At 46.1% G+C, this 14599-nt stretch overlaps 1 protein-coding gene across 5 annotated transcripts in view, besides 4 other annotated features; it reads right to left on the bottom strand.

Annotated features, from left to right (window-relative positions):
• Positions 1–3223, bottom strand: part of PPP1CC (protein phosphatase 1 catalytic subunit gamma) — a 34516-nt gene extending 31293 nt beyond the window's left edge. For all 5 annotated transcript variants that reach the window (XR_007063094.1, XM_011538505.4, XM_011538504.4 and 2 more), the window contains exon 1: positions 2985–3223. Coding sequence is in view for 4 of the 5 variants with exons in the window: in XM_011538505.4 (XP_011536807.1) it covers positions 2985–3039 (55 nt within the window). In the remaining variant the exon portion in view is untranslated. The remainder of the gene's footprint in view (positions 1–2984) is intronic.
• Positions 2948–3456: an enhancer, noted in NCBI's record as "H3K27ac hESC enhancer chr12:111180421-111180929 (GRCh37/hg19 assembly coordinates)". NCBI's record gives its function as "activates a minimal SCP1, AML or CMV promoter by ChIP-STARR-seq in primed H9 embryonic stem cells {active_cell/tissue: H9 hESC(primed)}" and the evidence as "EXISTENCE:reporter gene assay evidence [ECO:0000049][PMID:30033119]".
• Positions 3094–3153: a silencer, noted in NCBI's record as "silent region_4862". NCBI's record gives its function as "represses an Ori minimal core promoter by ATAC-STARR-seq in GM12878 lymphoblastoid cells {active_cell/tissue: GM12878}" and the evidence as "EXISTENCE:reporter gene assay evidence [ECO:0000049][PMID:35858748]".
• Positions 3314–3453: a silencer, noted in NCBI's record as "silent region_4863". NCBI's record gives its function as "represses an Ori minimal core promoter by ATAC-STARR-seq in GM12878 lymphoblastoid cells {active_cell/tissue: GM12878}" and the evidence as "EXISTENCE:reporter gene assay evidence [ECO:0000049][PMID:35858748]".
• Positions 4218–4802: an enhancer, noted in NCBI's record as "H3K27ac-H3K4me1 hESC enhancer chr12:111181691-111182275 (GRCh37/hg19 assembly coordinates)". NCBI's record gives its function as "activates a minimal SCP1, AML or CMV promoter by ChIP-STARR-seq in naive H9 embryonic stem cells {active_cell/tissue: H9 hESC(naive)}" and the evidence as "EXISTENCE:reporter gene assay evidence [ECO:0000049][PMID:30033119]".

Genomic DNA, 14599 nt, shown 5'->3' on the forward strand with positions numbered 1-14599 from the left:
GTCTTGCACTTTGACAATGGCCTTCTTCAAAGCAAAGATGCTTCTTGCAAACCAAGATGTGAAGTAAGTTACAACCACCTGCTATGCAAAAAAAATGCTAGCCACCATGGCTCCTTGAAGGAGGTCATTTACAAAGTAAAACTGCCCCAAATCTCACTTGTCTTCAATACATCAGACCAAATCAACAGCTGGCTTATTTTCTCTCAAAATGCCGTTTTACTGTGTAGTTATTTAAATAACTAACATCAGTTATACTAAGGAGTTAACAACCTTAAGTTTTATCATCAGCAAGGCAGAGCTTGGATAAAAGCATCCATGGTGGGTTGCAGAGGTGATGCCTCGCTTACAGAAATACTCAGAGTTCAGAGAAGAAAAGAACTGCAAAGGTTAGTGACTAAGATCTAAACCAACATGCTGTTTTTCTTAAGACTTCACTTTTCAGTTAGCTTTTTAGTACTATTACTCAGCTACTTCTCAACTAGGTTATACTGCTCGCAAGCTTAAAAGATCAATTCTAAACACGTAAAAAAATCTGGCCAAAGTCACAAGTCATATTCCCTCTACTTTCAGATATACTTACATCTTATTTAGGGAAAAAAAAGGTTTTGGGGGCATTATGAAAAGAATAAAATTTAGGCCGGGCACGGTGGCTCATGACTATAACCCCAGCACCTGGGGAGGACGAGGTGCGAGGACTGCTTGAAACCAGGAGTTTGAGAACAGCCTGGGCAACACAGTGAGACTCTCATTTCTATTTTAAATTATTAAATTTAATTTTTTTAAATAAAAAATTGTAAAACAGAATTTATTACCAACATCATTTAACTTAGATATCTACATATCCTCAATGGATCATCTTCAACTGTTTCTCTGCCAATTTAACACCCACGAGAAAAAAAGAAATTTAAGTATACTTTGCAGTTAGCCTATTCCCAAGGCATTAAAATGCACTGCTTTATTAATTTCAGCAAAAAATGAAATATAAGAAAACCTGGTTTTCAAGTGCCACATAACAAGAGGAACTATTAAGAAACAATGATCTCATTTTAGATGTATCATTACTTACCAGGCAAAGTACTTATTACAATTTTAAAGATCAAAATTAACAAAAGCTGTTTATGAATAGAGGCAGTTATGGGCAAACCAGAACTTAAATTAGCAAGCCTTAGATGATCTTAAAATTCTAATGTTTCTAATCCATGCAAATTCCAACTTTTCCTGTTTCCTCAGAGAAATAAAGCCACACATATCCCTGCAGAGATAAGCAGAATTTTAAAATTTAGAAAGAAAATATTTAACAAAAAGTTCCTTTCTTACAGCAAACTATTTTAATCAGTTTCTGACCAACTGCTGCCTCGAATAAATTAAAGAACTATATTAACTAGTATGAAAAAGTATGGTTCTTATATAAATACCTGGCATTAAAAGAATGACAAGGTTTTCACCTACAATACAAGGTTTTCACCTGCAATAACATTTCAAGAGCATTTCAGGGGTCCTTAATGACATTTAGTGTTTTTTTTGTTGTTTTTTTTTTAAAGACAGCATAAAAGGAAAGAATGCACAGATTAAGAAAAGGACGAGATATTTTCAGGAGCTTCATTTTAATAACTTACTTTAAAAGATCTGTAAATTCTAACACCAGAGCTGTCCAACTGTTCATGCCCTCGACTCCACCACTCACAGCATTTATAGTCCAACAATATTTTAGGACTGTATAAAGGCAAAAAGCAGTTGAAACTGCCAAGTTCCCATTATGAAGTGTCCAAGTTAGGGGATATGACTGAATTCTTACAAAGTCTTGGATAAGATGTTAGCATCCGTTGACATGCCCTTGAATCTGAAAGCAGCTCATTTCAGCTTCCGTCTTTAAAAGCTGAACCTCGCCCCTCTCCCACATCAACATGAATCAATTGCCAGGCACCTCACAAGTCTTAGATGAGCCGAAATTTAAAGCTTTCTATTAACCTTTACTTAACCACTGGCCACCTTCCTTCCTACATAAGGTGACAGTGTTGTCTGTAGAGGGTTCTAGCTCCCGGCTATGTGGATTTGAAATCCAACTGTCACTAACTGTGTGACCTTGGTTAAGTGACTTCATCTCAGTTTCTTCTGTAAAATAACAAAAACAAAAAAAATTGCAAATATCTTGCAATGGGTGGGAGAATTAAATGAAATCTGTCTTAAGTGCTCAAAGAATGCCTGACACACAGTAAGCGCTTTAGAAGCGTCAGTTATGATTACAGTAATAATTCATGGACGCAAAGTGCTTAAGACAGAGCCTGGCACATTGGAAAGATAATGATAGCGTCAGCCTCGTTGGCTTCCTCTTCAGATGCACGCTCAGGAAAAGAGCGCGGAGACCTCTCCAAGATTAGAACAACTTAAAAGGATTTGGAGGGCAGGCGAAGACAGGTTCTCACACCTCTTGAGACATGAACGCTTGTTACCAAGTAACAAGAAATGGGCCCCCCAAGACCCCAGAACCACGAAAAATAAAAATAAAAGCAAGCAGGAAAAGAGCCCCCAAACCCGGCGGAACTCATGCCCTCATCAAACTGCCTTCCGAGAGGACGAGCACCGAAAAGTCCATCTCGCACAGCACGGCACACGTCGTCCAGGAGGCTGGACTGGGATCCCCAACCATCGCTCCAAAGACCCGTCCAGTGCGCGGGGGCAAACGGGTAGGGGCGGGAAACGTGGGGGTGGGGAGCGGAGTTTTCAAATTCCACGGCCGGGAGGAAGCCTGCATCCTCGTGCAATGAATGAGCGGAGCCTGGAGGGTCCGCAGCTGGCGACAAGTTGGGAATCCCGGGCTGGCCTCCCTCCGGCTGCAGTCCCCGGCCCGTGGGCCAACTCGAGGAGCTCACTCCCCACGGTGCTGCAAGCCCAACCGGCCTCCCAACTCCCCTCCCTCGAGCCCCCGGGGCCGCCTGCCGCCCTCAGGCCCGCCTCCCCCTTCAGCCGCCCGCCGCCCCCCTTACCTTCCAGCAGCCGTTGGATAATGCTGTCGATGTTGAGTTTATCTAAATCCGCCATCGCCTTCCCACCGCCGACCCTCCCGCAGCGGCGCCGCCGCCGGCTCGCGCCCGGGACTCACACCTCCTTTCCCACGCCACGAGCAGAGGCGGTGGTGGCGGCGGTGGCAGCAGCCGCGGCGGGTCCCCCCCCTGCCACCCCGCTCCCTACTTCCTCCTTCTCTCCCCACTGGAACCACGAGAAGAACAAAATGGCCGCCGACTCCTTAGACAGCCTCGGGCGGCGCACGGATGCGCGCGGGGAGTGCAGCGGCCCGGCCGGGACTTCTTTATGGGCCATAGGGGGCGCGGGAGGGGGCGGGGCCCGGGCGCTGGAGGGGGCGGGGCCCGGGCGCTGGGCGGGGCGCAGATGGCTGAGCGCAACCGCGTCCCCGCATGGGATCCTTCCGCCAAACGGGCCGAGTAAATAGGCCCGCCCCCAATGCCGGGCCCGAGCGAGAGTTGCAAAGTTGCACGCGGGAGTTGGGGCTGGGGGAGGAAATGCAGCTGTGCACACCGCCGGTTGCGGCCATCGCCGGATCTTGTGCATTGAGTCTAGATGTTTGCAGACCTGGACAGGTGGGAGCTCACCGAGGGATTTCGGGGGTCCTGGAACTTACCCTTTAAGATAAATCTGGGGTGAGGATGGAAAAGAATAATAAAGAAAAGAAGGTTGACTTATTTTGGATTCAGATATACTGGAACTTGGGACAAGAGAAAGGTTTATTTGGTAACTAAAAAGAAAAAACCCTCTTTCAGATAAGTCAAAATGTAACAGTTAACTCATTGTGAGTGGTGGGTATATGGGTATTTGTATATATATTTTTTGTGCACTTCTGTAACTTTAGGGGTAAAAAATCCATACTCAAAGAAAATTTTATCATTTCTGTCCCTTGGATTTATCTTCCCTGAACTCGGAAAGTTATGTAATCATCGGGACGGTTATCCCGATTCTAGCCAGGGCAAAGTTGAACGAGCGCGTGCAGCAGTTAAAAGGGGAATTTGCAGATTTCACGCGTGCAGGCCGGGGGCGGGAAGAGAAGATGCAAGCTGCGCGGGCGGTCCTGGGTTCTGCAGACACCCGAAGAAACTTTGGCCCATTCCTCTCTGGCTTCCCAGCCTCCCCGAGGGCACTCCTATCCAAGGGGCCCCCAAACTGTGCCACCTCCAGGGGCTGCGCGTCGACTTTGGCTGGGTTTGGAAGTACAGCCCACACTCAGCAAACAGATCGGCTCTCTTTCCTGACCTTTCCATGTACGTTGCTTCCTGCAGCGCTTTACATTTTGCAAAGCCCCCTCTCTCCGAGAAATTCATTTTGTTTCCCAAGGCGTGCAGGATGCACGAATCCCCATCTCAGTATGCCACGAGGTAATTGCACCACCCAGGCATCCTCTTCCAAAGCAATGTCCTCAGGGTGCGGGCTCCATGTCCCCTTACTTGGGCCCCCTCGCTACTGGTGCAGGGCCCTTGAGTTTCAGAACTCAGCCTATCGATCCACTTTCCTCAGGCACTAACTCACTTTCCCCTGCTACAGCTCTGTCCACCAGAAGTCACATAAGTGCCATTTGTCAGGCCAAGGCAATGAGCCCAGTTGGTGACATTCGGAGTTGGTGCCCAGCGCTGCTGTGAACATCTGGCTATGGAGGTCAGGGGGGGCTCTTGCTGGAGTCCACAGGACTTTGGGCTACTCCAGGGCAGGGTGCATCATCGGAATGGCATTTAGGGTAGAAATATGAAAGACAGCAATTCATTCAGCAGACAAATATTTATGGAGTACCCACTCTGTGCCAGGCATTGTTCTAGACAGGGAAGCAGGGGTGATCAAGACAGACAAGGCTTTTTTCTATGGAGAGTCATTTAGTCAGTCAGATGGTAAGCAAAGATGCAAATAAAAATATCAGCTTCTGATAAGTGCAGTGGAGAAAAATAAACAAGAAAAAAAATGCTACTGTGTTCATTTCTTAGTATGTGCCAAAAAATGATCTCATTGAATCCCCAAGATAATCCTAGGAATTATGTCCTATTCCTATCATCCCCATTTACAGATGAAGAAAGTGAGGCACAGAGAGGCTAGGGTGGTTGCTGAAGGTCACACAGCCAGGAAGTTACAGAGTCAGGGCTGGAACTCAGGACAGCCTGAAACCACAGCCCTCGTTCATATTCAGTAAAACCCGGCAGTGAACCCCCAGCAGTGTTCACATCCCTGGCACATACTGGGCACATATCAATTTGGAACCCAGTGGAATGACTGAATTGTGTCTCTGCCCACAATACGAGTGCCATAATTTTCCTCATGCAAAATGGCAGGTGTGTTAACCTCTTGCAACATCATCAGGGCTGGAGGAGGACTTCAGACTGAGCTGGGACATGGGGAGAGCCTCTGTCCCCAGGTTGTTTTCTGCTGGGCAACTCCCCTCCAGAGTTCAGTTCTGCTGGCACATGCCTAAGTGATTAGCTGGCTCTGAGCCTGAGCATGGCATAGCTCACCAGGGTGGGCCCTCACAGCTCCCAGGAACCAGCAAATAGCCGGTGGAGGAAAGCACTGATTCCCTATTCGCCTTTTTCTGCCATTATCAGCACCAGTGGCTTTCCAAAGATGAGTTGATATAAGCATCCTGTCAGAAAGGATACAGCCTAATAAATGGAATGTCCCTTCCCCTCTCTAGGCCTCAGTTTGCCTATCTGTCAAATGAGGAGAGTGGATTAAAGTGCACTTTTCAAACTGTCTTTCCTGGCTCTACAGAGCTTTCTTAGGGGCTGCTGAAGATGATGGGGAGCTGATGATTAGAAGAGAGTGGCTGTGGCCAAATATTGGAAACTCAATAGTGTCTCTGAGGATACTTAGGCTTTGAGGGGGGATCCCAGTGCCTAAAGGGACCTGGCTGATAATACGAAAGAATTCAGCCTCTGGGTAGGGACTGGAGCAAACTGAGCCCACGTTTCATCCAAGGGGGCGGCCACTTCTCAGCTCCAGTCCCCTGGGGCCACTTGTGGCCAGATCCTCTGAGTTTTTGGTAAAACTTGAACATATGGATTTTTATGTTAAATGTTCCAATTTTAAAAAGTCGGTCATGAACTCAAAATCTTCTAAAACAGTGTGAGGCAGACAAAGCATATCTGTGGGTTACATTTGGCCCTAGGCCAGCAATTTGGAACTCTGTTCTAGAAGGCTGGGGATGAACTTTATTCTCTCCGTCCTTCCAATTTAATGAGCATTAGGATTGTGGTGAGATGATTGGAAGAAGTGTTGGTGGCTGGGCGCAGTGGCTCACGCACTTTCGGAGGCCGAGGTGGGTGGATCATTTGAGGCCAGGAGTTCGAGACCAGCCTGGACAATATAGTGAAACACCATCTGTACTAAAAATACAAAAAGTAGCTGGGCGTGCTGGTGGGTGCCTGTAATCCCAGCTACTCCAGAAGCTGAGGCATGAGAATCGCTTAAGCCCAGGAGGCGGAGGTTGCAGTGAGCTGAGACCGTGCCACTGCACTCCAGCCTGGGCGACAGAATGAGACTCCGTCTCAAAAAAAAAAAAAAAAGAAAAGAAAGAAGTGTTGAGTGTTGGTGATGAAGTTTGCCTGCAAATCTAGACCTCCCTGGATATTCCAGGGGTTTTATACAAAGGAGGGAACCATGGGGAAAAAATACGGGTGAATGCTCTTTGACAACGTCCACAGTTCTATCTCTGCATCCTGTAGTGTTACCGGCAGACACTTGTATTCTTTTGGGCAACGTTTGTCGAGGCCGTACTGGGTGTCAGGCACTGTGTGAGAAGCTGGGGACATAGCAGTGAATAAGCCAGACTTAGTCCCTGTCCTCATGGAGCTCCCAGTCTAGAGAAAGACACAGAGGGGAACAGATAAACCATTTGAGGAGGATAATTTCAGAGAGTGGCGATTTCGTGAGAAAATTAGAAAGGGTCATGTGACCACATAGGAGGACTCTGAGGATTTGACATTTGAGTCAAGATGTGAAGGATGAAAAAGAGAAAGTCATGGGAAGGATTGGCATAGGGGAAGAATATTCCCAACAGAAGGACCACCAAGTGCAAAGGCCCTGAGGCAGGAACAATCTTCCAGTGTTGGAGGAATGGGAAAAAGGCCAGAGTGGCTAGAGCACAGTGTGAAAGGTAGGAGAAGAGTGTCAGAAGTGGGGGTTGGAAGGCTGGGCGCGGTGGCTCACGCCTGTAATCCTAGCACTTTGGAAGGCCGAGGCAGGCAGATCACTTGAGGTCAGGAGTTTGAGACCAGCCTGGCCAACATGGTCAAACACCGTCTCTGTTAAAAATATGAAATTTAGCCGGGAGTAGTGTCGGGTGACTGTAATCCTAAGCTACTTGGGAGGCTGAGGCAGGAGAATCGTTTGAACCCGGGAGGTGGAGACTACAGTGAGCCGAGATCGCGCCATTGCATTCCAGCCTGGGTGACAGAGAGACTCTATCTCAAAAAAAAAAAAAAAAAAGAAGAAGAAGGTGGGGATTGGAGAAGTGGCCAGAGGCCAGATCACTCAGGGTTTTTGTTTTTTTTTCTCTCTTGTTGCCCAGGCTGGAGTGCAATGGCACGACCTTGGCTCATGTAACCTCTACCTCCCGGGTTCAAGCGGTTCTCCTGCCTCAGCCTCCCAAGTAGCTGGGATTACAGGTGCCTGCCACCATGCCCCGGCTAATTTTTGTATTTTTAGTAGAGACAGGGTTTCACCATGTTGGCCAGGCTAATCTCAAACTCCTGACCTCAGGTGATCTGCCCGCCTCGGCCCACTCAGGGTCTTTTAAACCACAAGAAGACGTTCGGATTTTATTCTAAGCTTAATGGGAAGTCACTGCAGGGTTTTAGGTAGAGGAGTAACATGATCTTATTTCACTTTTTTTTTTAGAGACAGGGTCTTGCCCTGTTGCTCAGGCTAAACTACAGTGGTGATATCATGGCTCACTGCAGCCTTGACCTCCTAGGCCCAAGTGATTCTCTCGCCTCAGCCTTCCAGGTAACTGGGACTACAGGTGCACACCACCACACCCAGCTAATTTTTAAGTTTTTTGTGGAGACAGTGGTCTTGCTATGTTGCCCAGGCTGGTCTTGAGCTCCTGGGCTCAAGCGGTTTGCCCGCCTCCTCCTCCCAAAGTGCTGGGATTATAGGCATGAGCCACTGTGCCCAGCCTGACTTCATGACTTCATGTTTTTGTTGTTTTTTTTTTTTTTGAGACGGAGTCTCACTTTGCTGCCCAGGCTGAAGTGCAGTGGCATGATCTCGGCTCACTGCAACCTCTGCCTCCTGGATTCAAGCAATTCTCCTGCCTCAGCCTCCCTAGTAGCTGGCATTACAGGAATGCACCACAACACCCAGCTAATTTTTTGTATTTTTAGTAGAGACGAGGTTTCACCATGTTGGCCAGGCTGGTCTTGAACTCCTGACCTCAAGTGATCCACCCGTCTCGGCCTCCCAAAGTGCTGGGATTACAGGCGTGAGCCACCGCCCCCAGCCTCATGTTTTTTTTAAATAAGCTTTTTATTTTGGAATAGTTTTAGGTTTACTGAAATGTAGCAAAGATGGTACAAAGAGTTCCCATATGCCTTTAGGTTTCCCCTTAATGTTAACATCAACAGCCAAGGCATTGCTCATAATTATTTCCTAACACCTAAATCATAAAGAAATGGTGGATCAGGCTGGGCGTGGTGGCTCATGCCTGTAATCCCAGCACTTTGGGAAGCTGAGATGGGCGGATCGCTTGAACTCAGGAGTTTGAGAACAGCCTGGGCAACATGGCAATACCCTGTCTCTACAAAAAATACAAAAAATTAGCCGGGCTTGGTGGTGTGCACCTATAACTCCCAGCTACTCAGGAGGCTGAGGCAGAAGAATTGCTTGAGCCCCGGAGGTTGAGGCTGCAGTGAGCTGTGACTGTGCCATTGCATTCCAGCTGGGGCGACAGAGTGAGACCCTGTCTCCCCCACAAAAAAATGATGGATCATAAAATATCACATCACATATAACCCAGAGAGCATCTTCTTCAAAATAAGGTCTGATTGTGTGTATGTGTTTTGAAAGATCGGGTTTTGTTTTGTTTTGTTTCTGAGATGGAGTTTCGCTCTTGTCGTCCAGGCTGGAGTGCAATGGCGCGATCTCATCTCACTGCAACCTCCGCCTCCCAGGTTCAAGCGATTCTCCTGCCTCAGCCTCCCAAGTAGCTGGGATTACAGGCATGTGCCACCACGCACAGCAAATTTTGTATTTTTAGTAGAGACGGGGCTTCTACATGTTGATCAGGCTGGTCTCGAACTCCTGACCTCAAGTGATCCACCCACCTTGGCCTCCCAAAGTGCTAGGATTATAGGTGTGAACCACCGAGCCTGGCCAAGATCAGGTTTTACTATGGTGCCCAGGCTGGACACGAACTCCTGGACAGTTACTTCCTACCCAAGTAACTGGGACTATAGGTGCACACCTCCATGCTTAGCTCTGATTGCATTTTTTTTTTTTTTGAGACAGAGTCTTACTCTGTCACCCAGGCTGAAGTGCAATGGCATGATCTCGGCTCACTGCAACCTCCACCTCCCGGGTTCAAGCGATTCTCCCACCTCAGCCTCCCGAGCAGCTGGGATTACAGGCACCTGCCATCATGCCTGGCTAATGTTGGCCTGGCTGGTCTCGAACTCCTGACCTCAGGTGATCCTCCCACCTCGGCCTCCCAAAGTGCTGGGATTACAGGCGTGAACCACCGCGCACAGCCTACATTTTTAAAAGATTTCTTTGGTTTCCGTGAGGAGAATGGACTGTAGGTGAGAAGGAGAGGAAGCTATGAGACTAGAGAGCAGGCTGTTGAAAAATGTGGCTTTAGCCGGGAGCGGTGGCTCATGCCTGTAATCCCAGCACTTTGGGAGGCTGATGCAGGCGGATCACTTGAGGTCAGGAGTTCGAGGCCAGCCTGGCCAACATGGCGAAACTCATCTCTACATCTAATACAAAAATTAGGCGGGCATGGTGGTGGGTGCCTGTAATCCCAGCTACTCCAGAGGCTGAGGCAGGAGAATCTCTTGAACTCAGGAGACGGAGGTTGCAGTGAGCCAAGATTTCAGCACTGCACTCCAGCCTGGGTGACAGAGTGAAATTGTGTAATATATATATGTGTGTGTGTGTATATATATATATACACACATGTATATATGTATGTGTATATATGTGTATATATACACATACATACATATATATGTACATATATACACATATACACACATCTGTATGTATACACATACACACACATCTGTATGTATGTATACACATATATACATATATGTATATATGTATAAAATATAAAGTATACACATGTATAAAGTAAATGTCCATTTTATATATTTATATATATAAATATATGTATTTATGTTTATAAATGTATATATATTTATATTTATAAACGTATATATACTTATAAATGTATATATATTTATACTTATAAATGTATATATATTTATACTTGTAAATGTATATATATTTATACTTGTAAATGTATATATTTATACTTGTAAATGTATATATATTTATACTTGTAAATGTATATATGTGTGTGCGTGTGTGTGTGTGTGTATACATATATTATATATATATGGTGGCTTTACTGATTAGTCTTAGTTTTCTAATCTGCAAAATGGGGACATTATTACCCATCTCAGAATGTGATCGTGAGAATGTATCTTCCAATGTACTTAGGGTGCTAACAGGAATAATGATGACAATAACAGTGATAATAGCTGGCATTTATTGAGTGTTTTCTGTGTGCCAATCTCTATGCTCATGGCCTTTCATGCATGCTCATTTTATTTTATTTTTGAAACGAAGTCTTACTCTGTCACCCAGGGTAGAATGCAGTGGCATGATCTCCGTTCACTGCAACCTCTGCCTCCTGGGTTCAAGCGATTCTCCTGCCTCACCCTCCAGAGTATAGAGTAGCTGGGAGGACAAGCATGCACCACCACACCTGGCTAATATTTTTGTAGGCTGGTCTTGAACTCCTGACCTCAGGTGATCCACCTGCCTCGGCCTCCCAAAATTCTGGGATTACAGGCATGAGCCACCATGCCTGCCCTAATTTTTCTGATTTTTTTTTTTTTTTGTAGAGATAGGGTCTCGCTATGTTGCCCAGGCTGATGTTGAACTCCTGGGCTCAAGCGATCCTCCTGTCTCAGCCTCCCAAAGTGCTGGGATTACAGGCTTGAGCCATTGCGCCCTGCATGCATGCTCATTTTAATCTTCACACTATTTTAGGAGTTAGGTTTCGCCAAGGGAAATAATTTATAACCCAGCTGGGGAGGGCCAGAGCCAGGATTTAAACCCAGGGAATCTGATGTCACACTTCTTCCTCCAAACACAGAAGTTATGTTCTTAGGGATCAGGGAGAGCAGATTCTTTGGGATGTTCCCAGGAGCCTTCTTGGAGCAGGGGGATTTAGATGGGCTGTTCAAAACCTCTTGCACCAGCCTTGGCCTTCACAGAGCCTTCATTGTCGTTGGGTGTGTCTTTCTTTGAGAAGGCCCCAAATACACTTTCATCTGGAATTATCCAACAGTGAAACTAGGATGATTATCGCCTTGCTAAATGTTCCTTAGCATCACAAAATGACTCACTCTGTGGTCGGGAAAGAAACAAGCTATCCCAGCATCTGGAGGGTGGATCGCACTGCCATTTGGAACAAAGTCTGGCAAAGGGAGGCTCACTTTAGAGCAGGGATTGTTGACCTGGGCGCTATTGACGTTTTGGGCTAGATCGTTCTCTGTCGAGCGGGTTCTGTCCTGTGTACTACATGGTGTTTAGCGGCATCCCTGATTTCTACCCACCAGATACAAGTAGCATGCCCCTCTTCTCCAATCATGACAATAAAAGATGTCTTCTGGCCAGTGTGGTGGCTCACACCTGTAATTCCAGCATTTTGGGAGGCCAAGGTGAGAGGATTGCTTCAAGCCCAGGAGTTTGAGACTAGCCTGAACAATGTAGTGAGACCCCATTCCTTAAAAAACATGTTTTGGCTGGGCACGGTGGCTCACGCCTGTAATCGCAGCGCTTTGGGAGTCCAAGGCAGGTGGATCCCTGAGGTCAGGAGTTCGAAACCAGCCTGGCCAACATGGTGAAACCCCATCTCTACTAGAAATACAAAAATTAGCTGGGTGTGGTGGTGGACGCCTGTAGTCCCAGCTACTCAGAAGGCTGAGGCAGGAGAATCACTTGAACCTGAGAGGTGGAGGCTGCAGTGAGCTGAGACAGCACCACTGCACTCCAGCCTGGGTGACAGAGTGAGACTCCATCTCAAAAAAAAAAAAAAAAGAAAAAGAAAAAAACATTGTAATGAACTATTTAGAACTTGGAGCGAAGTATAGATTGGTAATGAAAAAAATGCAATGAACTATTTAAAGCTTAAAGTACTTGCATATAGATACCCCTCTTCACACTCCAGAGATTCCAAATGTTAACATTTGGCCATATTTGACTTAGTTTTTTTTCTTTATTTTTTTTTTAGGTAAGAAAGGAAATGAAGTATTATGGTTGACACTTTTTTTTTTTTTTTTTTTTTTGAGACGGAGTCTTGCTCTGTCGCCCAGGCTGTAGTGCAATGGTGCGATCTTGGCTCACTGTAACCTCCACCTCCCAGGTTCAAGCGATTCTCCTGCCTCAGCCGCCCAAGTAGTTGGGATTACAGGTGCCCACCACACCTGGCTAATTTTTGTATTTTTAGTAGAGACTGGGTTTCGCCATGTTGGTCAGGCTGGTCTTAAACTCCTGACCTCAAGTAATCCACCCACCTTGGCCTCCCAAAGTGCTGGGATTACAGGCGTGAGCCACCATGCCCAGTCTACTCTCTTTGAATCCCATCTCCATCCTATTCGCTTCCCCTTTCCTTCCCCAGAGGTAGCACCAGGCAGCCTAATATTGTTGTGTAGGTGACTATGTTTTCACTAGGTTACAACATCTAATAAACAAACTAACAGTCAACAAGGAAGAAAACCAACAGCCTTAACCCTCAGGGGCAGGTGGAATGAGTTTTCATAAAGCCAGATTTATTTCGTTTAAAAGACCGGCTTTGCTTCTGAGAGCAGGACATTCTGACTTTATTTATATTAAAATGTCCTTCCAAGTAAGAAAGGTGGTAATAGTGAGAGATAGCTATTTTTTAAATGTCCCATTTGGCAAAAAAAAAAAAAAAAAAAAAAAAAATCCAATCATAGGATGACGGAGAAATAACTTGCAGCATGTTTAGGCGGTGATGGAAAGGAAGGAAACTGAGCTACGTGTATCAACATGGATTCATCTCAAAGCTAATATCAATGAAGCAAAAGCCAGCTGGGGGAAGCATTTGGGCTGGATGATGCTACTTACATAAAAGTTTAAAATGGGAAAACAATGTCACATATTTAGGGCAGGGTTTTCAAACTTTTTGGGGGCCGCAATGTGCTTTAAGAAAGATATTTTAGGCGGGGCATGGTGGCTCATGCCTGTAACCCCAGCATTTTGGGAGGCCAAGGCAGGCAGATCATTTGAGGTCAGGAGTTTGATACCAGCCTGGCCAACATGGTGAAAACTGTCTCTATGAAAAATACAAAAAATTAGCTGGCACACACCTGTAATCCCAGCTACTCAGGAAGCTGAGGCAGGAGAATTGCTGGAACCTGGGAGACAGAGGTTGTGGTGAGCCAAGATCCTGGCCACTGCACTCCAGCGTAGGTGACAAAGCTAGACTCTGTCTCAAAAAAAAAAGAAAGGAAAAAAAAAGATTTTAGGCTGGGCACGGTGGCTCATACTTGTAATCCCAGCACTTTGGGAGGCCGAGATGGGAGAATGGCTTGAGGCCAGGAATTTGAGACAGGCTGGTCACAATAGTGAGATTCCATCCCTATTTTTTAAAAAAATAATATGGACCAGGCACGGTGGCTCACGCCTGTAATCCCAGCACTTTGAGAGGCCAAGGTGGGCAGATCACTTGAGGTCAGGAGTTTGAGACCAGCCTGGCCAATATGGTGAAACCCTGTCTCTGCTAAAAAGACAAAAATTAGCTGGGCATGGTGGGCGCCTGTAATCCCAACTATTCGGGAGGCTGAGGCAGGAGAATCTAAAAAAAGACACCTATTTGGAGCCCGGCAACATAGTGAAACCCTGTCTCTAAAAAAAAAAAAAAAAAAAAAAAAATTTGGCTAAAAGTAGTGGCCCACACCTGTAGTCCTAACTACTCAGGAGGCTGAGGCAGGAGGCCTTGAGCCCAGGATGTGGAGGCTGCAGTGAGCTGTGATTGTGCCACTGCACTCCAGCGTGGGCAACTGAGACCCTGTCTCAAACAACAACAACAACAACAAAAAGAATATGTCCATCCATTCACCTGTTGGCAGGCATTTGGGTTATTTCCAGTGTTTGTATTATCTATCATTTTAATGCCTGAGATAGTTTATCAAGAAATAAATATACTGTTTGAGATGGTTTCCAAAAAGAAAAGAAACAAAAAAGCAAAGGGAAAAGAAAACACAAAAAACAAACAAACAAAATAAACACATCCTGTTATAACCCCCCCAACACACACACATTATTCTGGCAATTTTCCTGGTGTCCAATCCTC

The sequence above is a fragment of the Homo sapiens genome, chromosome 12 (genome assembly GCF_000001405.40).
Source record: "Homo sapiens chromosome 12, GRCh38.p14 Primary Assembly".
NCBI classification, from domain to species: domain Eukaryota; kingdom Metazoa; phylum Chordata; class Mammalia; order Primates; family Hominidae; genus Homo; species Homo sapiens.